This window comes from Homo sapiens, chromosome 22 (assembly GCF_000001405.40).
Source record: "Homo sapiens chromosome 22, GRCh38.p14 Primary Assembly".
NCBI lineage: Eukaryota > Metazoa > Chordata > Mammalia > Primates > Hominidae > Homo > Homo sapiens.
In genome coordinates, this window is record NC_000022.11 from 23,358,449 (window position 1) to 23,385,414 (window position 26,966).

The 26,966-nt window shown below is 48.6% G+C and overlaps 1 pseudogene across 1 annotated transcript, besides 1 other annotated feature; it reads right to left on the reverse strand.

Moving 5' to 3' along the window:
- Nucleotides 1-1,157: 1,157 nt before the first annotated feature.
- CES5AP1 (carboxylesterase 5A pseudogene 1) lies at nucleotides 1,158-23,678 on the reverse strand (annotated as a pseudogene). The gene is made up of 7 exons (NR_037839.1): nucleotides 23,515-23,678; nucleotides 18,433-18,566; nucleotides 15,182-15,300; nucleotides 11,910-12,014; nucleotides 7,830-7,970; nucleotides 4,656-4,724; nucleotides 1,158-1,305 (listed from the first exon to the last, which is right to left on the reverse strand). The product of NR_037839.1 is annotated as a carboxylesterase 5A pseudogene 1 (transcript).
- Nucleotides 8,641-9,375: an enhancer, noted in NCBI's record as "OCT4-NANOG hESC enhancer chr22:23709276-23710010 (GRCh37/hg19 assembly coordinates)". NCBI's record gives its function as "activates a minimal SCP1, AML or CMV promoter by ChIP-STARR-seq in primed H9 embryonic stem cells {active_cell/tissue: H9 hESC(primed)}" and the evidence as "EXISTENCE:reporter gene assay evidence [ECO:0000049][PMID:30033119]".
- Nucleotides 23,679-26,966: the final 3,288 nt, after the last annotated feature.

Consider the following 26,966-nt stretch of genomic DNA (forward strand, 5'->3'; position numbering starts at 1 on the left):
CAATAGCCAATTGTAGTCAATAGCCCATTGTTCATTGCACAATAGCCAAAAGGTGGAAACAATGCAAATGTCCGTTAATGAATAAATGGATAAACAAAACATAATATATACATACAATGGAACATTATTCGGCCTTAAAAAAGAAGGAAATTCTGATGTATAGTATAGCATATAGGAACCCTGAGACCTTATGCTATGTGAAATAAGCCAGCCAAAAGGACAAACATTTGTATGATTCCATTTGCATTGGGTAACCAAAGTCACTAAAGTAGCTAAAAAGTCACAGAGACAGAAAGTGGAATGGTGGTTATTGGGGTCTGGGGGAAGGAGGTGTGAGGAGTTATTTTTAATAGGTACTGAGTTTCAGTTTGGGATGATAAAAACATTCTGAAGATGTATAGTGGTGATGGTTGTACAACAATGTGAATGTATTTAATGCCATTGAACTATACACTTAAAATGGTTAAAATGGTAAATTTTTTATTAAGCATATTTAACCACAATTTTTAAAATTTAAAAAAGTATGCCATTTTATTTATAAATATTTGTGAATTTTCCAGATTTCCTTTTGTTCTTGATTTCTAATTTCATTCTCTTGTGGTTGAAGAAGATACTCTGCATGATTTCCATCCTTTTATATTTATTGGGATTTGTTTGGTGGCCTAACATATGGTTTATTCTGGAGGATATTGCATGTGCACTTGAGAAGAATGTAGAATCTGATATTACAGGGTGGAGTATTCGGCTGCATTTAAAATAGTTGATTTGAAGTCTATTACTTTAGGAGTTCCATTACTCCTTACAGCTAAAATGTTTGTTCCATTACTACGTATGGCTAAGATGTTGGGGAAGACATTTCCAGAAAGAAAAAATCCTGGGGGACGGCCCCCAGAAAATTATAGGGAGATGGGAATTTTCTACCTGGTCCTGAAGAGCAGGCAGGAATGGAAACAACAACTGATCAACATTCCCAGACTCTGAAAGGCAGGTGAATGGCACAGCTCACCATGGTACAGTTCCATCCACACACACCTGGGAATGCCCTCTCCATGAGGAAACAGAGGCAGAGGAGGCAGCCAGTCAGTAGACAACATGGATCTCCTTGGCCATCAACCTCGCTGGGCTGTCGTCCTGAAGCGGGGTGCTCAGAGACTCACCTCTATGATACTGAGCTGTGATCAGCTTAGGGATCACAAAGAACACATCTCCAAGCAAGTCCAGAAGACTGTCTCGGATTTCAGTCAGGGAGTGCTTGTCATGGAAGTATTCACCAGCCACAAGGTGCAAATAATTGGGCAGGATGTGCTGTAAAAAAATCATAGTCATAGGAGATCCAGGTCAACCACAATGGCCAACACGTTAACTCTGCAGGTATGATTCTGAATGCTTTACCCACATTGCTTCATTTAACCCACACAGCAACCCTGTGATGCAAGTATCAAAACTAGCCCCATTTCTCAGATTAAGAAACTGAGTCTTAGAGAGGTGAAGTCGTTGGGCCCACCTGGAAGAACCATGATTCTTTCAAAAGTGTATTTGCATCCAAATCTCATGCTCCTGGCCTCTCTCTTGTGTCTCAGAATGAGCCACTACTGGCTGCATCATCTGTGGAGCTCAGTGCAAAGTGAAGACATAGGCTCCTCGTTCACAAATCATTAAGAATTTCAAGATGGTGACAGCAGAGCATTCAACCAAATGTAGGACCCTTCTGAGCAACAAGGTCCTCTGTGACTACACAGGCAGAACATCCATGAAACCAGTCCTGCTCCGGTACCAGCGCTGCTTCCTGCACTTAGCTATTATCTTACCTAAGCTAGTTGGTCTCTTGGAGCCTCAGTTTCCTCATCTCTAGGGATGTGGAGGATTATAGAAGATATGAAGAGAAAAGCATGCTGCTTGACCCAGAGCACGTTTTCAGTCCTGTTGGTTCACCCAGGCCCCATTGCTGAGTGCCTTAATAGGACATCTGATGCTTCTCTGACCTGGCACCAGCCTGCCTCCCAGGCTTCTCCCTCTCAACTTTCCCCAAGCACAAATGGCAAAGAGTGCATGGTAAATTCTATGAAGATTCAGGGATCTGGTGCTCTGGGAAATGCTGGAAAGGTGTTGCAGCTCAAACCCCTACCACTAAGACAGCAGCACAGCCCTTGATGGGTTTCTTTGGAATTTGGAGGCGAGGCAGTGTACATAACATTCGGGAATGCTGCTCAGACTCGTGTATCGCGTCCTCAGGAGGCTAATGGTTTTTAATCAGGCCAGAGCAAGGGAGGCCTCTGCAGCAGGTCCAGTCTATGGTGTAAGGGCCTGGCCTCTTTGGCCATATAACCAGCAGACCCCATGGTGCCGGAGGTGTCCAAGGTGGGTACACATGCTGTGTGGAGTCTCAGGTAAGCCCCCATAGGACAGTCAGAGTGCAAAGTCCTAGGGTTCTGGAGCAAGGCTATGCCTTCTGTATCAGAGAACTACTTACTGTTTGAAAAGTAGCCCCTAGCATGCCACTGCGCCCAGGAGAGACACATGCCCTTCCATTCCTCTTGCACTTCCTTGCACAATCTACTTCCCACTCTACTTGAAATGTCCTTCTGCTCACTTGTTCCCCTCCCCTAAGGCTCAGATCATCGAGCACCTTCTCCATAAGGCCATCTCCAATCCACCTGAGAATTCCACTGTATGACTTACATCATCAATATCTCTCAACCTTAGTCCCAGTTCATCATCAGACAGCTGCAACTCATCAAACATCCCTCCACCAAGGGGGGCCTGAGGGATCTCTGCCTGTAGTGTTTCTGTTTTCCTTTTTTTTTTTTTTTTTTTTTTTTTTTGAGATAGTCTCTTGCCCTGTTGCCCAGGCTGGAGTACAGTGGCAAGATCCTGCAGCCTCAAACTCCCAGGCTCAACAGTCCTCCTGCCTTGGCCTCCCAAGTAGCTGGCACCACAAATGCACACCACCATGCCTGGCTAATTTTTTTATTTTTTGTAGAGACAAGGTCTCCCTATGTTGCCCAGGCTGGTCTTGAACTCCTGGGTTCAAGCAATCCTCCTGCCTTGGCCTCCCAAAGTGTTGGGATTACAGGTGTGACCCACTGTGCCCAGTTTCAGAGGACTTTTTTTAAAAATAGAAATCAAATAATGTCCTTCTTCCTTCTGTTCTCAGTCTTTAGGATGAAGTCTACGCTCATTATTACCTAGCTTACAACAGCTGAAAGCATTCTCTCCTGCTGCAGCCAACCCTCAGCTGATCTCTTCACACCCCTCTACTCCCAGTTGGTACTCTTGGTTTTTCACAGTTTCTCCACCCACCCCTTCCATCACCAGACAAGCTCCATTAATCCTCCAAACCCTTCTCCCCAAGAGAGGCACCTGTCCCCTTCTGTGGGCACCACAGGGCCTTGGACACTCCCCTGCTTCATGTGTGCTGTATTGAACTGTCTTGTCATCTCTGTCCACCCCACATTGCACCCCAGTGCCCAGGGCAATGCAGGGGCATGTGGACTCTCACTAAACATGTGTTCCATGGACAAATGAGCAAAATGAACATTAGCACTGAGTCCACCCTGAATAAATGTTTATGGAAAAGAGGAAGATGGAAAAAGGAGAAAAGGAGAAAAGGAAGGAAAGCAATCCATCTCTATATCCTACTGTCTAGAGTAAGACCAGATACTGCTGAGTTTGTGCAGTGAATGAATGAATTAGTGATGGAACAATAAATGAGTGAATGAATGAGTAAATAACTGGTCTTGTCAGAACCTGGCCCAATGCCTGGCTGGTGTGTAGTGAATACAGGTCCCCAGTCCCATGTGTGTTTTAGCATTCAGAGTTTTTCAGACTGTAGGTAGACAATGCAGCACCTATGTTGCATGTTATCACACAGGCTTGGGGTGGGGTAACACCCCAACACCCACATTAATGCATCCACAGAGAAACATCTGAATACTGGGATAAATAAAATGAATGAATGAATGTGTAAGAACAAAAATGACTGATAGCCACAAATCAGTCAAGGTGTGGTTTGGCTGCTGGGTGGGTTACAAAAACCCTCTGAGTTTTTGGAGCTCTTCCAGGTTGGGGATTGTGCATTGGGATTGTGGGCCTATTGATATAGGTTGGACCTGTGTCCCCCACCAAATCTCATGTTGAATTGTAATCCCTAATGTTGGAGGTGGGGCCTGGTAGGAGGTGATTGGATCATAGGAGTGGTTTCTCATGAATGGTTAGCACCATTCCTTTGGTGCTGTTCTCGTCATAGAGTTCCCATGAGATTTGGTTGTTTAAAAGTGCGTGGCACCACCTCCCTCTCTCTCTTCCTCCTGCTCTGGCCGCGTAAGACGTGCCTTCTTCCCCTTCGCCTTCCACCATGATTATAAGTTTCCTGAGGCCTCCCCAGAAGCTGAACAGATGCCAGCATCATGCTTCCTGTATAGCCTGCAGCACCATGAGCCAATTAAGCCTCTTTTCTTTATAAATTACCCAGTCTCCAGTATTTCTTAATAGCAGTGCAAGAGTGGACTAATACACCTATGCTTAGTAAAGGTCTACTGAATGACTGAGTGAGTGAGGAGTGTCTGTGCCCCTGGCTGCTCCCGCTGAGTGTGACCCAGGGCTATCTGTGAAAGTGCATGTGTCTCTAGAGTACTGCAGCCTCCCAAGCTATTCACCAGGATGTTTTGTGTCAGACAGAGGGCAAGGGACTTGTTGGAGCCACTGAGAATCTCAGGAGCCTCCTTCTGTGGAGAGAAGCAGTGCCCTCCATAAGCCATCTGGTCATCAGAAGGTTAAACCCATCTCCCTGAGGGCCTGGGCACCTGACTTTCACAGGGGAAGCTGGGAAGGGCAGGAGCCCTCCAGCCCAGGCAGCCACGTGTGGAAGTGGCCTCAGTGTGCTGCTCAGATAGTTAATTTCTTCTTCTCACTTTTGATAAAAGGCAGCTGTTCCCTGTCATTCCACCTGCAGCCTTGTGGGGCCCGAGTGGCCACCTTGTGGGAAGGCTCCCATTATGAGCTAAGTTGTGGCCCCCTCAAAATTCACACATTGAAGTCTTAACCCCCCTTCACTTCAGAGTGCGACTATTTGGAGACAGTACTTTTAAAGGGGAGATTATGTTAAAATGCGGCGTTAGAGTGGGCCCTAATCCAATCTGGCTAATGTCCTTATGAGAAAGGAACGTTTAGACAAACAAAGCAATATTAGCACCTTGATCTTAGAAGTCCAGCCCCCAGAACTATGAGAACATGAATGTCTGTCATTTAAGCCTCCCAGTCTGTGGTATTTTGTTATGGTAGCCCTGACTGCCTAAGAGACACCAACTTGGCTTTGACACCAAGTTCAAAGAGAAGCCAGAAAATTTCAAAACTGGTATTTGCTGTTCTCCTTCTAACGACCTTTGCGGGTGGGGCCTCTGAGAAGCCACAGTGGGAGGTCAGGCAGTAGCAGTGAGGCTGGTGGCCACCAGCTGAGAACTTGGCAAGGGACTCAACTTTTCCTGTCTCAGGCTCCTCATCTGTAAGATGGAGTTTGCAACAGGTACCTCCTGCCAGGGTGGTGATGAGAACTGAAAGAGTTGATATTTGTAAAGCTCTTACAGTGGTACTTGGTATATAGTAAGCGCTTTGTGTGAATATTTGTGAAATTACCATTTTCTGGCAAAATTACAGCTTTAAAATGTGAGGCAGCAGAAATACTATCCACCTGACAAATAAATTTTCTTGGTATGTTTTCTGCTGAAAATCTTGGGGTAATGAATCACTAGGGCCAATACTTAAATGAATACTAGGGCCATACCTGTCTCCTGGAATCTCAGGGGAACCTCAGAGTCATTCATGTTACCTACAAGCATATTCTAACTACTAAAAACCTTCTTGTACATTAAGGAGCTGGGATTTGTTTCTGGGGGATTTCCTGTGGTTTCTAACAGCTAGCAATGGGTTTAACTGCAAATTCACATGGAATTTCAGCACCCACACAGGCTTTTGAGCTCTGCAAATTCTGTCAGTTGAATAACTCCAATATCTAGCATTTACTGAGGACTGACTATATGCCAGACTGTTTGATGTATAGCTGTGAGGTAGGTGCTAAGAATAGCCGTATTTCACAGATGAAGGAATGGAGACTCAGAGAGGGTAGGCAACTTCCCTAATGTCACACAGCAGGTAAGCAGAGAACTCGGCATTTAAAGGCAGAACCTAGTCTGGGCACAGGCTCATGTCTGTAATCTCAGCACTTTGGGGGGCCAAGGTGGGTGGATCACTTGAGGTCAGGAGTTCAAAACCAGCCTGGCCAACATGGTGAAACCCTGTCTCTGCTAAAAATACAAAAAAAATTAGCTAGTCGTGGTGGCAGGCACCTGTAATCCCAGCTACTCTAGAGGCTGAGGCAGAAGAATCGCTTGAACCCGGGAGATGGAGGTTGCAGTGAGCCAAGATTGTGCTACTACACTCCAGCCTGGGCAACAGAGTGAGACTCTGACTCAAAAATAAAATAAAATAAAATAAAAAACAGAGCCTAAATGCATAAAAATTACACACCAGTGTCTCCTTACTAGCTAGGAGATGCTGGAAAGCCACTTTAGCTGCTCTGAGCCTCAGTTTCTTTAAAATAGGGATAATCATGCCTGTTTTCAAGTTCCTGCTTGGATTGCCTGTGCTTGGCACTAGAAGGCATTGGGGAACTGGTTACAGTAGTTACAGTGGTGGTTGTCATCACTAGCACTGCCTTCTTCTTTCTAATACACACCCAGAAATCACTGAAAGGCCTTACCTAAGCCATCAACTGTGATTCACTGGCCTCATCTGCAACATGAGGACAAAAATCCCTAGTCCCACTTGAAAACATTGCCTTGGAGGTCAAATTAATAATGGTACAACATGCTTTCACAACCCAATGAACTCGGGATTCTGGTTCTAGCAGCCATCAACTAGCTTTGTAATTTGACAAACCTCTTTATTTCTTAACCCCATTTCCCCCAGCTTAAAATGAGGTCAGTCTATATAAATGAGCTTCAACAGTATTAGGAATTTGAAGCCTCCACTCTTCTGAGGACAGATGAAAAGTTTATTTCCAATGAAGAGAGTCTTCCTAAACCATGGAATCAAAAAATCATGGGTTTTTCCCGGCACCCAGGCCTCAGCTCAACAATCTCTCCCCCAGAGGAGCCTTTCCTAACCACCTGTTGTCTCCCTAAAGATAACTTCTCTCCCCACTTGTGCCCTTCATAGCATCTATCACTCTCCGAAATCATCTTCTCAACCTCGTGTCTCCTCTGTCTCTCCCCACTAGAGTGTAAGCGCTCAGAAAGCTGGTACCACGCTCGCTGCCAACTGCTCAGTTTTTATAAGCCTGTAATAAATACTCAGCACATACTTGTTGAATAAATAAAATGATTCAACAATTTTGCAACTTATACAACCTTAGCATTCTTGGATGTCAAGATGCTAGAACCAAGGCTGGACATGAAAAGTTTAAAGGACTGAAGTTTTTCAAACCTATCTGAATGTCAACTCTGAAGTAGTAACTGCATTTTTTGGAAACAATAATTTATAGTATTTTTTGAACAAAGACCAAATGGACCCATCCCCTCTTTCCTTTTTATGTAGTTGTTTCTTCCACCCTAAACCTCATCACATGAGGAGCAAGGCAGACACTTGCTGTGACTGGCCTGGCCTGGTCCTCGCTTATCCTCTTTCAGAGAGAGGAAAGGTGATCACTGTGTGCTTGGCTGGTGGGCTCCAGCACTTACAACAGTGGATGTCACCTGTGGAAATGCCCAGCTGTTGAAGCCAAGAGCTGCATCACAGTTTGAGGGAGTGGCAGTATGGACAGCCACAATTCTTACCATAGGCAGCGGGAAGCCACACTCGGGGTTATTGACTCCGATGATGGAAGGAATTGCTTTAAATGCTTTCTGAGACAATAGATCTAGAGGCTCATTAGGAAAGAAAGCACCATCAACCACTTGAGTGAAAGCCTTTGTTTTCTGTAATAGGGAAGAAAAAAAAACCAGCAGCTATTTCTGTTCACAAAATCTGCTGTCCCAAATCCTGGCCAAGCAAAGCCAACCCAGTCTAGCACTGGCTTAAATGCACTTAAAAAGTAAAAGCAAACACTATGGGCCCAGCTCAATATATCAGTCCCTGGCAGCTCTGCCATGTACCTGGGCAAGGGGGCTAAACTTGTGTGTGCCTTATTTTCTTATCTGCTAAACGGGAATATCTACCTAAGAAAAACAGTGGCCTCGGATATGGTTTGGCTATGTCCCCACCCAAATCTCAAATTATAGCTCCCATAATTCCCACATATTGTGGGAGGGACCTGGTGGGAGGTAATTGAATCATGGGAGCAGGTCTTATTCATGCTATTTGCATGATAGTGAATAAAGCTCATGAGATCTGATGGTTTTTATAAAGGGGAGCGCCCCTGCACAAGCTTTTTTTTTTGCCCACTGCCATATAAGACGTGCCTTTGCTCTTTCTTCACCCTCCACCATGATGTGAGGCCTCCCCAGCCATGTGGAACTGTGAGTTTATTAAACCTCTTTCCTTTATAAATTACTTAGACTCAGGTATGTCTTTATTAGCAGCGTGAGAAGAGACTAATACAGCCTAGCACAGAGATTCTCAAAGTGTGGTTCCTAGACCAGCAGCATCAGCATCATCTGGGAATTTGTTAGAAATGCACATTCTCAGGTCCACTTCAGGCCCTCAATAAGAAACTCTAGGGTCGGGGTGTAGCCCAGGAACCTTCTTGTAACTGAAATGCCTAACCTTGTTTTTACTTTAACTCGTTACTTTGAATTTTATCCTGCTTGTCTCTTTAATCACCTAGCCTTGCTTCTCATGTAAATAAGACTCTCTCCAGCTAGGAAGGCTGGACAAACTCCAGTTGATCCCTTAATTTACAAGACACTGAGGGCTCCTCATCCAACACCCTTTCGTAAGGAGTTGGCCTGTGTAAACAGATCCTCAGCATTTCAAAGGAGCCCAATTAACTGATAAGGTACTAGCACCAACAATGTATGAAGTTCCCAGGATTTCTCTCCAAGAGATAACAACATAAAACCTTGAGTTCATGCCCTGCATAGACTCTATATCTAATTATAATGAAAGATTTAGAACCTTGCACCTGATACCGTTGCTCTTCTTGTAACTATTTGTCTTTTGTTTATCACTCTGTAACCATTTTGCTTCTTTTGATTCTTGCATGTTTTTACTTCTGTAGAATTATTACATTTGAGTCCCCCTCCCCTTCCTAAACCTAGGTATAAAAGTTAATTGAGCCCCTTCCTCGTGGCAGAGAGAATTTTGAGCATTAGCTGTCTCTCTGGCCGCCGGCTTAATAAAGGACTCTTAATTCTTCTCAAAGTGTGGCGTTCCCTTAACTCACCTGGATACAACATAACCAGTCCTCCAGGTGATCCTGATGCATGTTCAAGTTTGAGAACCACTGGCCAAATACAAAGGGAAAAATGGTGGTAGATGGAGTAGCTAGGACTGTAGGGGTTGGTGTGAACACCTTTCTCAGATGTCTCCCTGAGACACAGTGCCTGGGAAATGCCTGGATATTTCTGGGGTCTCAGAAAGCAACACTCAGCTCTAATCACGGTTTCTTCAGGTTTCTGTTTTGGGATTTGGGTAGAAAGGAGCACATGGAAGAGTTCAATACAACGTCAGGTCCAGGACTTATCCATTTCACTGAGGCTAGCATGGCTCAGAGTGGACATTCAGTACACAGCACCTAACTAGCAAATGTTGAAATCTGAAAGATAATGATCTTGTTCATTCAAAGACTGTCATCAAAGGCTCTCAAGGTTGGAAGGGACATAAAAGATCACCCGGTTCAATTAACTGTCACTGATTGAAAGTCTGTCAGTGGTCAGCTATATTTTGCTTGAATACCTGGAGAGGTGGGCATCTCACCACCTTCTAAAGGAGCCCAGTCCTTTTCCAGACAACTGAGGTCTTGAAAAGTTTTCAGTTACACAAAACTAAAATGACTTCTGAATAGAACTTCTAGCTTGTGATCTTGACTTCAGCTTCTGGAAGCATGCATAACAAGTGTGGTCCCTCTCTCCAGTGAGATGCCTTCAGGGACTTAGAGACAAGCCTTGTACTTTGCTGAATCTTCTCCAGGCTAAGTTGCACCCCTGCCCCAACAATGTTCTTAAATTACCTACAAGGGTTCTATACCCCTACTTATTTTTTTTACAGCTGTTACCAAGTATCCCCAGTCCTCCTCTTTTCCATGTTCCAAATCCAAATAAATAACAAAAGGGTAGGATTTGTTCACCTCTCTATTCAAAGGGCAACCCTGTCCCCAAAACTGCCCCCTCTGTCCTCACCTGGCTGAGGGTCAGCAGCTCCTTGGAGGATTTTGTCCTCAGGCACCTCAGTGGGGCCTCAGAGTCTGATGCATTGTACCCACAGAATTGTGCAACTACCTGCAGCTATTTTCAGAGAAAGACCAGGTCAGAGCATGATTTTGAAAGCATCTAGGAAAATGAAACCTGGAAAATGCCCTCCTATCAGCCACAGGCTTGTCCTCCATATATAAGTCCATCCTGCTACCCCTGCCTAGCCCCATGCCCCTATAAAGGAAGGTGCACGTGGCAGACAGGTTGCCACTGCCTCACCCTCACTCTCTTGCCTGGCTCGCCTTGTCATCTTTAGAAAACACCACAGCTGGGGATGGGTGTTTGTCAGTCTGTGGATATGGAATGGAATCAAGATTCCTGGTCACAAAGAGATCAGTCCTGTGAACTTGGCTGCATTGGTACTTGGCTCCTCCAGAGTCTAGAAGCCCAACCTTGAGGTGCTAAATGAAGACAGAAACACCAAGAGCGAGGAACAGCTTTGCAAGCTCCTTCAGTGTCAGTAGAGGCAGGGCTCCAGATCAGATTCTCAGCTTGTCAGCCCTGCCCAAGCCCCAGGCCCACTCACAGCCTGGAATGTCCTACCTGTCTTTTTTCCTGCCTGTATACCAATCCTTCTCATTCTTTAAAGCCCAAGTCCTGCTCTCCACAATGTCCTTTCAGGGCACTGCAGCCCCCAGAAACGCCTTCCTCATCCAATCTCCTATAAGCTCGATGTTCCCCACCTTCCATGCCTGGCCCATTGCTGAACACCTGCTTTCCTTGTCACTGAACCTTCCATATTTGTAGAACTCACTCCCTGAAAGTGGTGGCTCTTAACCTTCTGGGAGTCGTGGATACTGTGAGAATCCAATCAAAGTTACAAACCCCCTCCCTGGGAAAATGTGCAGGCATGTGGAGTCTGGTACAATTGTGGGACCACTTCCCAAACCATCCATGGATTCCAGGATTTAATCCTATCCATGGATAGGTGATAAAAAGATTATATTGCCCTCAGGTTTGGATATGCTTTCTCCACTGATAAATCCCAAAGTTCTAACAGAGCAGGGAAAATAGTGGGCATTCAGTGATGTGTCAAATGAATAAACATATGCCCAAACTGAAAGCAGCTTTATGGAGAATGTTACCAAAATCAATGTTTCCACGTATTGAGGGTATTTTTTTTTACAATTTCATAACTCTATGTTTCTGCTCTTGGTTATATACTGTTACTTTCTATAAAATGTTTAAGAAAATTTACCACTAAAATCATTAATACTCAAGAGATGGCTCCACAGCCCAGTGCTTAATTAATATGCATTGAATGAAACAGCTCATTCATTAGCTCATTCATCCAGAACATTTATAGCTGCCTGATATATACCACTTATTATGCTGGGGGCCTGAAGGACAGAGAGATCCTGGTCTCTAGGGCCTCACTCTGTAGTAGATAATTAAGAGACAGATGACAAATATCGTGGGATAGATGGCACATGGTGAGAAGGTGCCTGAACACATTCTCCCCTAACTGAGGAGAGGAAGCTAGCAAGGTGTTAACAGTATTCGTACGTCCTCACTCTTCTCATAATCATGGGCCTTCAGGTAAAGGATGATGGCCACCCCACTCTCCATGACGGCTTTGTGGAATAAGCCTTCGGCCATGGGAGACAGAATCTGGAGAGAGAACACAGAAGATCCAGGAAAGGTTACGCAGAGGACTCCCCACCGATCACAAATACCATTCATCCCTCTTCAAAGAAACCTTCCCAGGAAGCCTCCATAAAAGCTCTAAACTTAGAGGGGAAAAAAAACCCTTTTTGGCGGGGGTTAAAGGACTAGCTGTGAAGGTTTGGGCAAGTTACTTAACCTCTCTGAGCCCTGGTTCTTCATGAACTTTGATGTCAAATGTTCAGGCATGTGATTTCTAGCTCCTTCACTTCCTAGCTGTGTAACCTCGGACAAGTTGCTTAATATTTCTTTTTTTTTTTCTTTTTTTTTTTTTGAGATGAAATCTCACTCTGTGGCCAGGCTGGAGTGCAGTGGCGTGATCTCGGCTCACTGCAACCTCCAACTCCCAGGTTCAAGTGATTCTCCTGCCTCAGTCTCTGGAGTAGCTAGGATTACAGGCACGCACCACCATGCCCAGCTAATTTTTGTATTTTTAGTAGAGACACGGTTTCACCGTGTTAGCCAGGATAGTCTCAATCTCCTGATCTCGTGATCCGCCCGCCTTGGCCTCCCAAAGTGCTGGGATTACAGGCGTGAGCCGCTGCGCCCAGCCAAGTTACTTAATATTTCTAAGTATCAGTTCACTCCCCTGTAAAACTGGAGTAAAAATTGAGCCCGTATCACAAAATTATTGGAGGAGCAGGGGCAGTGACAAACATAGAAGTCTTCACAGGTGGTCTGGTCAAATTTCGTTCATGAAATAATGGCTGTTATAATATATGAAAAGTTAGGTTAATATAATCCACTTTAGAAGGTAATTTTGAAGATGTAAAAAGACCACATATATTGTTAAGTGCTAGTCAGCAGAAGCTCTCTTAACACCATGTCACTGATTTCTGCAATTAACCTGCCAACTGATGCCAAGGAAATGGTGACCACACTGAGCCAATGGACCATTTTCTAGCACCTCTGTCCATTTCTCTTCTCATCAGTTTCTTGCCAAGAATCAGGTGTGTTTGCTTCCAAACCTGTTTTGTCAACTGCACTTGTTATTGTAATTACATAATCAATGAAATATCATGAGAACAAATGAACTGTATGTGTAAAAGAAAATCAAATTATGTCTGGAAAAAAATTCTTGATAAAGGATGGCTAAAAAATATTGCTCTCGGGCCAGGCATAGTGGCTCACGCCTATAATCCCAGCACTTTTGGAAGCCAAAGCAAAAGGATCACTTGAGCCCAGAAGTTCAAGACCATCCTGGGCAATATAGCTAGACCCCATCTCTAAAAAAATGAATAAATAAATAAAAATTAGCTGGGCATGGTGGCACATGCTTCTTGTGAGGCTGAGGCATGATGATTACTTGTGCCCAGGAGTTCAGGTTGCAATGAACTATGATCACCCCACTGCATGCCAGTCTGGGCAACAGAGTGAGACCTTGTCTCAAAAAAATATATTGCTGTCGCTGGGCGCGGTGGCTCACGCCTGTAATCCCAGCACTTTGGGAGGCCAGGGCGGGCAGATCACTTGAGGTCGGCAGTTCGAGACCAGCCTGACCAACATGGAGAAAACCCATCTCTACTAAAAATACAAAATTAGTCGGGCATGGTGGCACATGCCTGTAATCCCAGCTACTCGGGAGGCTGAGGCAGGAGAAAAGCTTGAACCTGGGAGGCAGAAGTTGGGGTGAGCCTAGATTGCACCACTGCACTCCAGCCTGGGCAACAAGAGTGAAACTCCGTCTCAAAACAAACAAAAAAAGCCTTATATGTCTGTGTATGTATATATATGTATATAAATATATGTGCATGTGTGTATATACACAGTATATATAGTGCATATATGCACTATATATGTATATATTCTTATATGCACTATATATGTATATATTCTACTTATTTCTTGTCCACACATAATTTGACAGCTATATATATATAAATATTATCTAGTATATATATAAATATCTAGTACATATATAAATATCTAGTATATATAGATATATAAATATCTAGTATATATACACAGTGTATATAGTGTATAGTGTATATACACTACTATATATAGTATATATACTATATATATAGTAGTGTATATACACTATGTGTGTGTATATACTAGATATTATATATATAATATATATGGTATATATATACTATATACTATATATACTATATATAGTAGTGTATATACACTATACACTATATACACTATATACGTGTGTATGTATATATACTATATATATACTGTATACTACTTATTTCTTGTCCACACATAATTTGACAGCTATATATATATCTAATATATATAAATATCTAGTATATATAGATATATAAATATCTAGTATATATACACACATATATAGTATATATAGTGTATATATAGTGTATAGTGTATATACACTACTATATATAGTATATATACCATATATAGCAGTGTATATACACTATGTGTGTGTGTATATACTAGATATTTTATATATATATAATATATATATGGCTGTCAAATTATGTGTGGGCAAGAAATAAGTAGAATATTTGCAGGAAAAGTATAAAACTCCAAAATGTGCTCAGGCATCTTTAAGTTTGTGCCCACCGTAAAGAAACTGAAACTGCAATTTGAGGACAGCAACATTTGCAGTGGTTTATGCAAGATAATCCATGTTGGAACTCCAGTCAGCAGACCAGCTCTGCAAACATAAGGCCCTGTATCAAACTGTTGGTGAGGGAATGTACATTTTATGGTTTAAATTAAGTTAAAATAAAATTAAAATTTAATATTTATATGCATCTTTTGATATTTCATGCTTTAGCTGAGTTTTCTATTAAACAAGTAATTACCGCTCTGGTAATTGAATACTAGGGTTTCTCCTCTACAAATATAAAGGAGTTTTCCTCAAATTATTACTCACTATGTGATCTTGGGTGATTTATTTAAAGTTTCCCAGTGACGGCTATCTTGTCCATGAAATCAGACTGAGCTCCTAACTCATGATGTGTTTGTGAGGCTTGAAGAAGACAATGTGCCTTAAAGTGTCTGTTGTGCATGAAGGCACCAATCAAATGTTAGTGACTCCTCATCATCATTTTTGGACCTCCCACACTGAGATTCATTCAAATCACAAAGCAGAGAACTTACAAGGCTGGAAACACTTATGGCTCCCACGGACTCACCAAAGATGGTCACAGAGCTGGGGTCCCCACCGAAGAACTCGATGTTCTTCTGGACCCAGGATAGAGCAGCCACCTGGTCCTTGAAGGCCCAGTTCCCGGGAGCGTGCTGATCCCATGTGCTGAGGACAAGAGGCAGGGTGAGAATTCTCAGTTGGCCATGGCGTGTTTCCCACAGCCCTGGAAGTTCTCAGCAGAGGCTGTGGGCAGATGTCAGTGGGGAGGGGACTGAGAGTCAGAGGTCTGGAGGAGCTGGGGAAACCGGGCTCAGTTCTCACACTTTGCTGGGATTTGGATTTGAGAATTTGATGAAAGCTATGCACCCGAGAAGAACGCACATACAATACTGTAGGTGCAATTTCAAGTATTCATAGGCTCCTCAGAATCCATGAATCCCAGTGCGTGAATCCTGTGTTGCCCAGGCTGGTCTGGAATCCATGAATCCTTTCCTGAGAGTTGGTCTGTACTAGAAAGCAAGGGTTTTCTGAGCACAGAATTTTCCATGAAACTAAATTAATAATAATCATAATAACAATAATAGCAGGTGCAGCAGGTACCGGACACTGTTCTAAGGGCTTTAAGGCTAATACTCCTACAACCCTCACACCTATGAGGTAGATGGTGCTGGGTTTTCTCCCTTTGCTTCTCTGGGTCCTCTCCACCCTTCTCTGCCCTGTCCCCCAAAAGCTGACCTCTAGGAATGTCATCACCCAGGCCTCAGCTGTGTGCTGTGAGGGTGGGCTAGAGAGAGACTGGGATGTTTATCCCACCACCCCGTGCTCCCTCTCTGCTGGGAAGTGTTTGGGCAGAGGCTGCTTTTCTCCACAGCAGCAGCTCATGCCAACTCCCTTCCACTAAACCTGTGAGCATGCTGTCAGGATGATGAATGGATACATAAACTCTTTAATTCAGGCACTGAGAGGTTAAACCCCCTGGCTCAAGAGCTAGAAAGCTGCAGATTTGGGATCCCACGCCCCCATGCTGCTGCTCCTGCACAATTGCATGTTTCCTGGGATGGAATTAATGGGAGAACAAATGAAACAACTGGAAATCCCACAGAACCAAAGAAATGTCTAGACCGAAAGCATGCACGCAGTGCACACCATCAGTGCAAGTCATCCTGGGGCACATTCTACTCCACTCCATTCCCCAGTTCCCCAGACTGCTCCTTCCCCTGGGTTCCCTCCTCTATCCATGACCACTGAGCTGGCTCTGCCTCCACCTTCTCTCTCCCAGTCCCCTGCATCTGGTCAAGAGTCAAGCCCTGCCAATTTTACCTCCATTCTTCTGTGGCTCCCACCCTGGTCCCCATTTCTCCATCTGTTTATCCTGAGAAGCATTATACCTTAGTGGTTACTATCTCAGCCTCGAGCACAGGATTCACAGCCTGGCCACTTATCATCTGGGTGACCTTGGGCAAGTCACTTAACCTGCTGTGCTTCAATGGTTCTCATGTCTAAAATGGGGATAGTGCCCACTCCACATGGTTGTGAAGATTGACGGTGCCAGGCAGACAATAAGCATGTCATATACACCTGTTATATACATGTTAGCTATTGCTTTTGTGGTTCAACCACCCCGTGGCCCGCATCAAGACGGTGCCTCCCATTGGGGGTCCGTATCTGCAGCTGGGCACCCCTGGCTCAGCCTCCGTTCTGCTCTGGAGGTTCCTGGTACACTACTCTGAGAAAGGTACTCCTGGTCCCTCAATCTGTATTGGATAAAGCCCAAACTCCATTTACGGCCTGGCATTCAAGGTCTTTCCCTGTCAGGCCTGTCCTTGCCTTTCTGCATCCATCTCCTGCTGTAGCTTCATCTACCTATGCTCAAACCAGATATGATAAACAATTGTTGAAAACGTTCCTATCAAAGGAATCTTACGCAGAATCCTAATGTATAGAGCAGCTAGAAGTGTAATTGCTCGGGTCAGGGCACCCCGTCAGCCTGTCCTGCCTGCACAGCACTCCCAGAGCCACATTCCAGGCCTACAGGCCCAGTGCAGTTTGCAAAAGTATTGCTTCATCCTCATGTGTTGCTACCTCCCTTCCAACTTCCTAACCTTTGCACAGGTAGCACCCTTTGCCGAGCACACGTTCTCTCAACCCCTTCTCCTCAAACCCAACCACATCCTTCAGGTGCAACTCCAATGCCACCCCTCTTCCGAAGCCTCCCCAATCCCTTGCAACTCATTCCTCTGTTTCCGCAGCCCCATGGCCTCTCATTCTTGGAGAATTAACCATGTCCTTCTTGGTAATGTGGAAATTTTTGTCCCTGCATTATGTCCCCCATAGTCAGGAGCCTCTGTAGGGCAGGATTCATATTTTGAATCATTGCTGATTTTCCCATAGTATGTGACAGTGACCCCCAAGCATAATCCTGGCCCCACCTCTCACTTCTCTTTGCTTACATTGGTCCCTGGTCAGGACTTCTCCTGCCATGTTTTAGGCAGGATAATAGAAGTGGTCAAGAGACCTAGCTCTGTTTTGTGACCCCTGGGAAGTTGCTTGGCCTCTCTGGGCCTCCATTTTCCAGCTGTGAAATGAAGATAACAACAGAGAATCTTCCTTGAAGGATTATTTTGAGGATGAGTTGAAATAATGCATGCCTGGTTCATTGATAACCCAATACATGTTAGGCATGATTGGAGGAGGGAAGCCACTGTGATGGAGTGATGATTCTCAGGTGAGCATTCGAGAAGCCTTGGGGTGAGGCTCAGGTAGACGCTACCAACTGCTCACACAAACAGTGTCCTGTCTTCCAGGGCATGCAGTGGGGCTACATTGCCCCAGCTCGCTTGCAGCTGGATGTGGCCATGTGACTGAGTTCTGCCAATGGTGAGTGAACAGAAGTGACGAGTGCCACCTGCAGGCTGGGCCAGGAGACTCTCCCTTGCATGGTCCTCCATGCTTTCTCCGCCCACCTGCCAAATGCAGAAGATCCGGGGCCCTAGAGAATCCACATCAGAGCTCAAGATGTAAAGAGCCAGATCCCTGGCTGACCATGGGGAAGAATATCTGCTGATCAGGGATGCTCAATTAAACTTTACTCAAGTGAGAAAAAGATTTTTATTGTGTTAAGCCACCAAAATTTGGGGATTTATCTGCTACGGCAGCAAAAATTACCTAAGGAACTAGGGCCAGTTTTGTTCAATGTCCTGGAAGGCTCACTCCTTCTTAGGTTGCTGGGCACTGTCTATGGCTACTGCACTGCTGCCCCTTGGGGATCTGGGATGTCGATCATTTGAAGAGACTCACGTGAAGAAGCCAAATATTCCCAGCCGGTACTGGACGATCACAACCAGCATGTCCTCATAGGCAGCCAGGGAGGACCCATCGAAGATGGAGGCTGAGCCAGTCTCGAAGGCACCGCCTGGGAACCACAACAAAACCTGAGGAGGAGACAGGAATGTCCCATCAGCCCACCAGGCACCACCTCCCCTCCCCATGCAGTTTGGGGCACACGTTCTTCAGATGAAATATAAATGTCCCACTTGCTAAGCAGGGTGTGATGTTTCATCTTTTGAAGGCCCAGGGTGAAGCATGTAGGCTCTGGCACCTGAGTGCCTGGGTTTGATTCCCAGCTCTGCCACTGACTAGCTGTGTGACCTTGGGCAGTTTACTTAACCTAAGGCTCATTTTTCCCATCTGTAAATGTGAAGAAGGAAACTATCTCACTCACGAAGTTTTATGAGGTTTAAACAAAATTCTATATCTAAAGCTCATAGAACAGTGAGCATTAGCATATTTCAAGTTTCAAAGTGCTCAGAAATTGTTCACTAAATATCAGTGAACCTGTGACCCACAGGAAGATGGAAACCGTTGTAAGCCATGTCTAAAAGCAAAAACAGCTCAAGGTGTTTCAGAGGAAAGCTCTCTACCTTCAGAGGGAGGGGAGGAGAGGGGAGAAAAGGGGAATGGAGGGGGTGAGGGGAGGAGAAGTGGAGAAAAAGAGGAGGAGGAGAAGAAAGAGGAGGAGGAAGGGAGAAGGGGAAGGAGGAGAAAGGATGAAAGATGAAGAAGGAAGAGAAAGAAGGGTCAGGAGCGGTGGCTCACGCCTGTAATCCCAGCACTTCGGGAGTCTGAGGCGGGTGGATTGCTTGAGCCTCAGGAATTCAAGACCACCCTGGGCCAATATGGTGAAACCCTGTCTCTACTAAACAAAAAATTGCCGGGCATGGTGGCAGGCATCTGTTATCCCAGCTACTTGGGAAGCTGAGGCACAAGAATCACTTGAGCCCGGGTGGCGAAGGTTGCAGTGAGCTGAGGTTGCACCACTGCACTCCAGCCTGGGTGACAGGATGAGACTCTGCATCAAAAAAAAAAAAAAAAAAAAGGAGGGAAGAGTTAAAAACTTTATTGATTAGAAAAACTGGGACCAGGGAACATAAAACGTTATTCGGATGGCATTATCTCTATTTATATATTTAATAAGAAATCCGTTCCATTCTCTTTCTTAGGGTCATGTTAGAGATTACAGCCTTTGGGGCAGGTAAAGAGAGGAAAGCCACTGAGGAAAGGGGAAGAGGACAAAGCACTGGCTTTGGTGCCAGAATCTAGCACCTACTGCATGTACAACATGGAGGAAGTCATTTATGCCATTCCTGTGCTTCATCTTCTCCATCTGTGGAATGGGTCCAAATGCATGATTATGTTTTATAAATGTCTGTATTTAGCCAGTTCTTGTTTTTCTTTCAATGCAGCTACAAGGCCACAAGTTATGCTATGCTATAGATTATGTGACCTATCACGTGAGTAACTGCTTTTATTTATTGTAAGTCCGCTCATAAAAACCCCCGCTCTCTCTTTGTTTAATGCTCAGCTTCTTGGATATGAATCCACTGAGCCGGCGCATACCTAAAATAAACAATCCTCCTGTTTCTCATACTGGTCTCTCCGTTCCTCAGTTTACCGCAACAGTCCTGCTCAATGAGGTGAGGGAGCCACATGGTGGTGTCAGTTGGAAGGCAGGCCAGACAGGGCAAGGAACCAGGATCAGAGAAACCGGCTTATGTGTGGGGAGGAGATCCCCAGGTCCTGCTCCTACTTGGGCTCCTGGCAGCTCCCAGCCACTGTCCAGAGCTGCAGAGTCAGTAGCCTGAGGGTGGAGGGAGCAGGCCTGCTCTGCCTGGGACCACCCTCTTCATCCCTCTGCAGCTGAAGGCTTCACACCAATAAACACATGAGGCGGCAAGGATTACGGTAGTGCCGAGCAGCCACTCACACTTTAGTGAGAATTGCTGGATGAAGTAGTCCTGGGCTAGATCCCAGGAACATGGCAGGTCAAGTTGGATGGTGGAGGGGGTTCACCCAAGGCCTGGAGGGTCTGGGGCAATAGAAGAACCAGAGACTGGCTCATGGGGCAGATAATACCCCCACCCACTAGCCCAGATATCCAGAACACCTGCAGGCACAGGGCAGACTCTTGAGCCAACCCCATGGCCATCCACAATCCCAGTGAGGCAGGAAGAGACACAGACTCTGCCCACCTGGCCCAGTACTAAGAAACACCCCTGCCTTTGCATGTGCGTGCAGGGTCCTCACCCCGTGTGTGTTGTGGGGGGGTCCTCACACTCCAAGTATGGGTAACAACCCCTAATACGTGGCACCAGGACACAGTGGGCCCGGGGGGGCCAGTCTCGGCCCAGTCGATGTGGCCACCCCCAGCACCAAGGTGCCCTCACTGTGCAGGGCATCAGCAACTTTGATGAGTTTTCATTTAACATTCTCTTTATCACAATTACTTTGAAAACTATTCAGTGCAGTTATTAATAATTAATTATTATCTGCTGTTATATTAATTATCTGGCCATCGGGAATGTCACCAAGATTTAAAATTTTTGTTAATAATATTTCCTGGACATGGGAGAGGTTTCCTGCATCTCCACACATGCCCTCCCTGCTCTGGGTGAGGCTGGCTAGGGCCCCCCTGTTGTGGGGACCGCCCACTCTCGCTGGCACCGCCTGCAGGCTGCCCCCATCAGTTCATCCTGGGCCCTGGGCAGAGCTCTGGGCAGGCCTGGGTGACTGAACCCTCCCTCCAGCTGCTCCCACCGGGCCCTGGTGTGCCCATGCTCGTGAGCCCTGTGGCCTATGCAGGTCCTCAATGGCCCCCAGGATGGGGCCGCCCTGGCACCGAGGCCTGCTGGGATTGCAGTGGGAGGCTGCAAAGCGCCTGCCACGTGAGAGGTGGCACCAGTGGCCTGCTGTGCTAGGTCAGCCCCAGCTGCAGATTCCAGGCTGCTGCACTCCCACAGGGCCCCTGCCTAGCCCCGCAGCGGTCTCCAGTGTCCTCATCAGCCCTGTGACCAGCAGCCTCAGGGAGCCACAGGAGACAGGAGACCCTCCACTGGGTGCACACAGACAGGCCTGGAGAGGACAGGATGGGCCACATGGACGGCTGGCTGGGGCTGCGGAGCCCAGGGGTGGTGCCGCAGGCACTGGGAGGTGGCATTATGTGACCACGGCAGCCTAAGACCACCACTGTGGGCCCAAGCTCGCAGCTCGCTTCCCACTATTCTCAGTGAGAGGACACAGGCTACCCCTTGAGGCCAGCCCACAGCTCTCTTACCAGGCAGCAACTTACCGCCCCTCACTGTGTCCTGTCGCTCTGCTCTTGTGGCCTGCTGTGCAGCAGGCACCATGTCACCCGTTCATAGATGAGCAAGCCAAGGCTCGGGGCAGGAGACCGGTGCAGCAGGCTCTCACCACCTCATGGGAGCAGGCTCTGCACACGGCATGCTCTCAGGCCCCTTTGGCTGAGTGCCCAGCCCCAACCCCAAGCTACCCCGCTGGCTATCCAAGCACTGGGTGGAGTCTGGAGGAGAGAATGGTTAGGTGCCTCCTCTGGGTGGCCCCTCACTTTAGGGAGGCTCAGGGGCTGTGCTCCAGCCTAGGTGGACATGGTTGTGGCTGCCCCTGTCCCTCCTCCTGCCCCTGCCCCTCCTCCCACCCTTGCCTGCTTCCTCTGCTCCAGCTCAGTCAAGAAGCGTGGGGTGCTGCTGAGACAGAAGGGGGCCAGGGAGAATGCCCATGGCATGAAGTCCTCCAGACCTGCCCTAACCTCCCCCTCCCCACTCTACAATGCGCACCCCATAAAGACCTTTGTCAGGCAACCCCTCCAATGCAATCAGACCAGCGTGGAGCCTCCTGTGCCTGAGGAACTAGTCCCAAGCAATGGCAGCCCTCAAACCCACTGTGGGCTTGTCAGCATGGTACTATGACAGTGCTGATGACAGTAGTGAGGATGGGCTCAGTCACAGCGACCATAGTGACGGAGGTGTGGTGATGGTGATGGAGGTAGTGATGGTGATAGTGATGGTGATGGTGGTGGCGATGGAGGTAGTGATGGAGGTGGTGTTACTGGCGGTGGTGGTGTGGAAGCGGTGATGGGGGTGGTGATGGTGGAGGTGATGGAGGCTGTGGTGGTGATGATGGTAGTCATGGTGATGGTGGTGGTGGTGATGCTGGTGATCATGGTGATGGTGGTGGTGGTGGTGATGGTGGTGGTCAAAATAGAGGTTATGTGGTGGTACTGATGGTGATGGTGATGGTGGGGATGGTGAGGGTAATGGTGGTGGTGATGGAAGTTGTGGTTACAGTGATGGTGTTGATTGTGGTGGAGGTGATGGTGCTGGTAGTGATGGTGGTGGTGGTGGTGGTGGTGGTGATGATGCCGGTGCTGGTGGTGATGGGGTGCTGGTGGAGCTGGCCATGATGGTGGTTATGGCCGTGCTCATGGTGACAGTGGTGATGATGTAAATGGATTCTCCTCCTGGAGTTTCCTGGAGAAACAACTTCTCTGCTTCCCCAGGGCTGCCTGGTCCCTCCCTGCCTGGGGGTGGCCCCCAGAGGCAGGAAGAGCAGAGCGTGGACTGAGCCTGACAGGGCAGTCAGTATCTTGAACTCACAGAGAACATTTAATCTTAGTTAAAAGTAAATAAGTTCATTTACTGGGAGGGGAAGAAGGGCCCAATATTTACTGCAAGCATGTGGAGTGATTACTCCAGGAGGTTCCCTTGGGATGCCAGGCTCCATCCCCACTCCTGTCAGGTTCACCTGTGGCAGGTGGGAGGGAACGGCATGGGCCCACCCTGCCCTCGGGCCCCCAGAGGGGCATCTCTCTTCTACCCCCCACGGCAGGGGCTGCAGGGTTGGCAATGCCCCCTTCCCTCCCTCAGCCCCCAACTCTTGGCAGGGCCCTGGCCCACGGACCCCTGGATTCTTGCATGTGGGCACACCTCAGCCCCTGGCAGGACACCCCCAGGCCCTCACTGGCTCTGTTGCTCACCTGCTGTGTGACCTCAGGAACCCTGCCCCTTTTTGAGCCCCTGTACTCACCTAGGAAATGGGTGATAAAGGCACGTGCCCCCGGCGGGGGATGGAGGTTGGTGCTGGTGGTCAGTGTTCCCATGACAATGACCTATTGGCTGTGCAGAAGGTGAGCCTCATCTTCCAAACTCAAGGAGTCCTTCATGAGCACAGCCCTCAGCCACCGAGATCCCCCAAACTCCCATAGTTCCCGAATCTCCACGGCCAAGTGCTGAGACAAGAGCCCTGGGGCTCAAGGCCCCTCAGGCAGGGTGCGGTGAGGGCCCGTCGGAGGAAGGGCTTCCTCCTGCCCATCCTGGCTGGGCGCTGTGCGGGACTGCAGGAGCCTGAGTTGGGGTAAAAGGAATTTCAGGGGAGACAGTCAGATCCAAGGTCAACTGCCCAGCTCAGCCCAGGACTCCAGCCTCTTGCAACAAGATGGGCCAGGCCCCTCGCTGGAGTCTGCTCAGCAAGGGGCCTGTGGGTCCCTGGGCAAGCACTAGCCGGGTCCTACCCTCAGCCTGGGGCCTCCTTCCAGCCTCCTCCCTGGCGCAGCCCAGCTAGAGTTTGTTCATTTCCTGGGGGCTCCCGCCTCCCCCTCCCCTGGCCCTGCACTGCGTGAGGGCGCATCTCCTAGAACCAGCCCCCCAGAGTCTGCTGAGATTAGGAGACCTGGAGGTTACCCCAGGGACACCCTGCCCCTGTGCCCCAGACAGGTGTCCCCCCCACTATGGGTGATGAATGTCGAGGAGCTGCCATTATAATTAGTGTGGAATGTGCCGCCTCTCCCAGGGAGGAAAATCCCATCTTGGAAATACACCTCAGATGCAAGTTGAATTTCACCCACGGGGCCATAAAACCATTTTTTCAATCACCTGGTGCTGTTGGGGGCTGGCACCATTAATCCTGGAGATGTTATTTAGAGCCAAGACATCACTTGGGGAAAAAAATCAGGTCCGCACTCCATGAGGAACCCCTCTCTATGCCCTGCAGAGGCCTCAGGAGATGGACGAGACTGCTCGGGCACCAGGCAGGGAGGGGCAGGGACGCAGCTACCCTCACAGCCACCCTCACGGCCCAGGAGCCATGCCTCACTTCATCAGCTCCTGCCAGACCCTCCCTACCAGAGATGGCCCCATCGGCATAAGGGAAGACTGAGGCCAGAGAGGAATGGAGGAATTGGAGGGCTGGAACAGCTGGTGGGCTGGACGGCTCAGCTCCACTTGCCCTGCCTGCCCCCAGCAGACACTGCCCTCCTCTTCATTCCCAAAGCCCCCACCCGGCCCAGATCCTCTCCTGAGATCAGTATCATCCAACAGCCTTTTATAAAAAATTGTTTCCTTGATTACCGAGGGTAACAATGAAAACACGTAATTGAATCTCCAAGAAATTACCATTTTTATAACTTGCGCCCAGTTCCCGAGATAAATTAAACGCCTCCCCTGTATGGTGAGCCGCTCACTGCGCATCAGAGAGGGGCTGATACTGCCCTTTATCATCGATGCGGGACTTACTAAGAAGAATGCCTCACACTGCCTCCCGGGAGGCTCCTGGCACCTCCAGCTCATGGCCCTGAGCGGGCAGAGTTGGCCAGCTGGAGGCGCCGGGCGGGTGGTCAGGTGGGCCCCCTCCTGATCACTCCTGGCCCTGTTACTGGCTAGCTGCGTGGTGGTGTGGGTGGTAAGTGGGAGGGCCAGTCAGAATCTTAGCCCAGACTCCCAAGAAAATCAGGCCTGTGCGCAGCCGGGCAGCGACAGCTTTCTGAGAAGTGCAACCCTGGAGCCAGAGTGGGGAAAAGGCAGGGAAGCCGGGTAGGAGGAAGGAAGTGGAGATGGCAGAGAGGGAGGATTTACCCACCTGCCCCCCACTTGCTGGCCAAAGCTGACCCCACCCAATTGCGCCAGTGCCCAGAGGACCCAAGATATCACAAGGTCAGGCAGCAGAGCGGCTCTGGGGGAGGCGAGGCCCCGCTGAGGCAAGGCACCGCCTGGCACAGGGTCCGGGAGCAGGTGGGGGCAGCAGGGTGGCCACACCCACCCAAGGAGCTGCTGGGTTGGTCAGCAGAGGGGCGGGGAGGTGGGGCCAGCTACCGGGATGGGCTGTCCATCTGTGAGCAGCTGGTAGTGGGTTTCCTGCTGGCAGTTGCTAGTGGCTGGATTCTCATGGCTCTCTGGCTGGCTGGAGGCCGTTTGGGTTGTGGGGAAGCAGAAGCCTCCAGCCTGTGGACTGAGTTTCCTGAAAATGTCTGCAGGCTGCACTCAGCAGAGCCAACTTCAAGCAAAGGACCCGAGTGACACTATTCACGTGCAAACCACCGCCCCTCCCAGCGTGGCTGTTTGCCTGAGGGCCCAGAGCCACCCCCTGGGGAACACTGCCTAGTCAGAAACCTGGCAGTGGTGGCTGCACAGCGAGGAGGGGTGCTGTCAGGGGACAGAGGACCTGCTCCCTGGGAACGGGAGAACTGAGGCCCAAAGAGTGGCCTCCCACTTGATCTAGGCAAACTCAGGGTCAAGGGCAACAGGCTGAGGTCACCAGGAGCTCAAAGGCTGGCTCTGAAGGTGAGACCTTCTTCTGAGGAAGCAAGTGGCCTCAAGCAGCACCCTCTGGCAGCCGGCCCAGAGGACTGGAGTGGGGTGGGCCGGGAGGAACATCGTTCGGGACGGGGTGGGTGCCTACACCCACAACTGTGCTCCTGCCTTCTCTCCCTCCCTGGCCTGGTTCCCGACTTCCCAGGGTCCCCTCCTGCCCCCACGAGGCCCTGCCGCCCAAGGGCCTGCCTGGATGCTCCAGTGGGGCTTGAAACCCCCACAGTCAGGCAGCAGACCGTGACTTCTCAGCTGTGTGTCCTGGACAGAAGCAAAGGAGGCCCCAGAACCTCTCATCGCAACTCCAACCAACATGGGAATCCAGGGCTGCAGGGGGCAGCCTGCCTGGGGACAGGGCTGGGCTCAGACCCCAAAGCCCAGGGTCTGCAGCCATCCCAGTCCCATTCCACAGAGCCTGAGGCACCAACCTCAACCTACTCCCAGCCCCACTCCCACCCCATGCCCCAGATCCCCCATCCCACCAGAATACACCCAGCCCACAGCCTGGCTCCAAGGAACAGGCTTGTCGGGCCTGAGGGCCTCCAAAAGGGCTCTGTCTCCAGGCCCGGAGGAGAGCAGAGGCCCCAGCCCAGGTCAGAAAGGGGCAGAGTGGACGCAGGGCCCCAGAAGGCCAGCGCTGAGATCCCTCCCCTGCCCTGTCCCCAGTAAACCTCTGGTGTGTCCCCTTGAGGCCCCCATGAGAAGAATGAGGCAAGCAGGGTGGAAATGGTGTGGTCACTCCAGAGCAGTGGCCGTATCCAGCCTCCCGGCCAGCCCTCCTCCCCAGACCAAGGCCCAGGTGGCATCTCCCAGGGCAGAGCCAGGACCAGCCTCCCACCCTCCCCTGCTGTGGGGGCCGAGGCAGCAGTTGGAGGTGGGGGCTCCACCTCCCCAGCC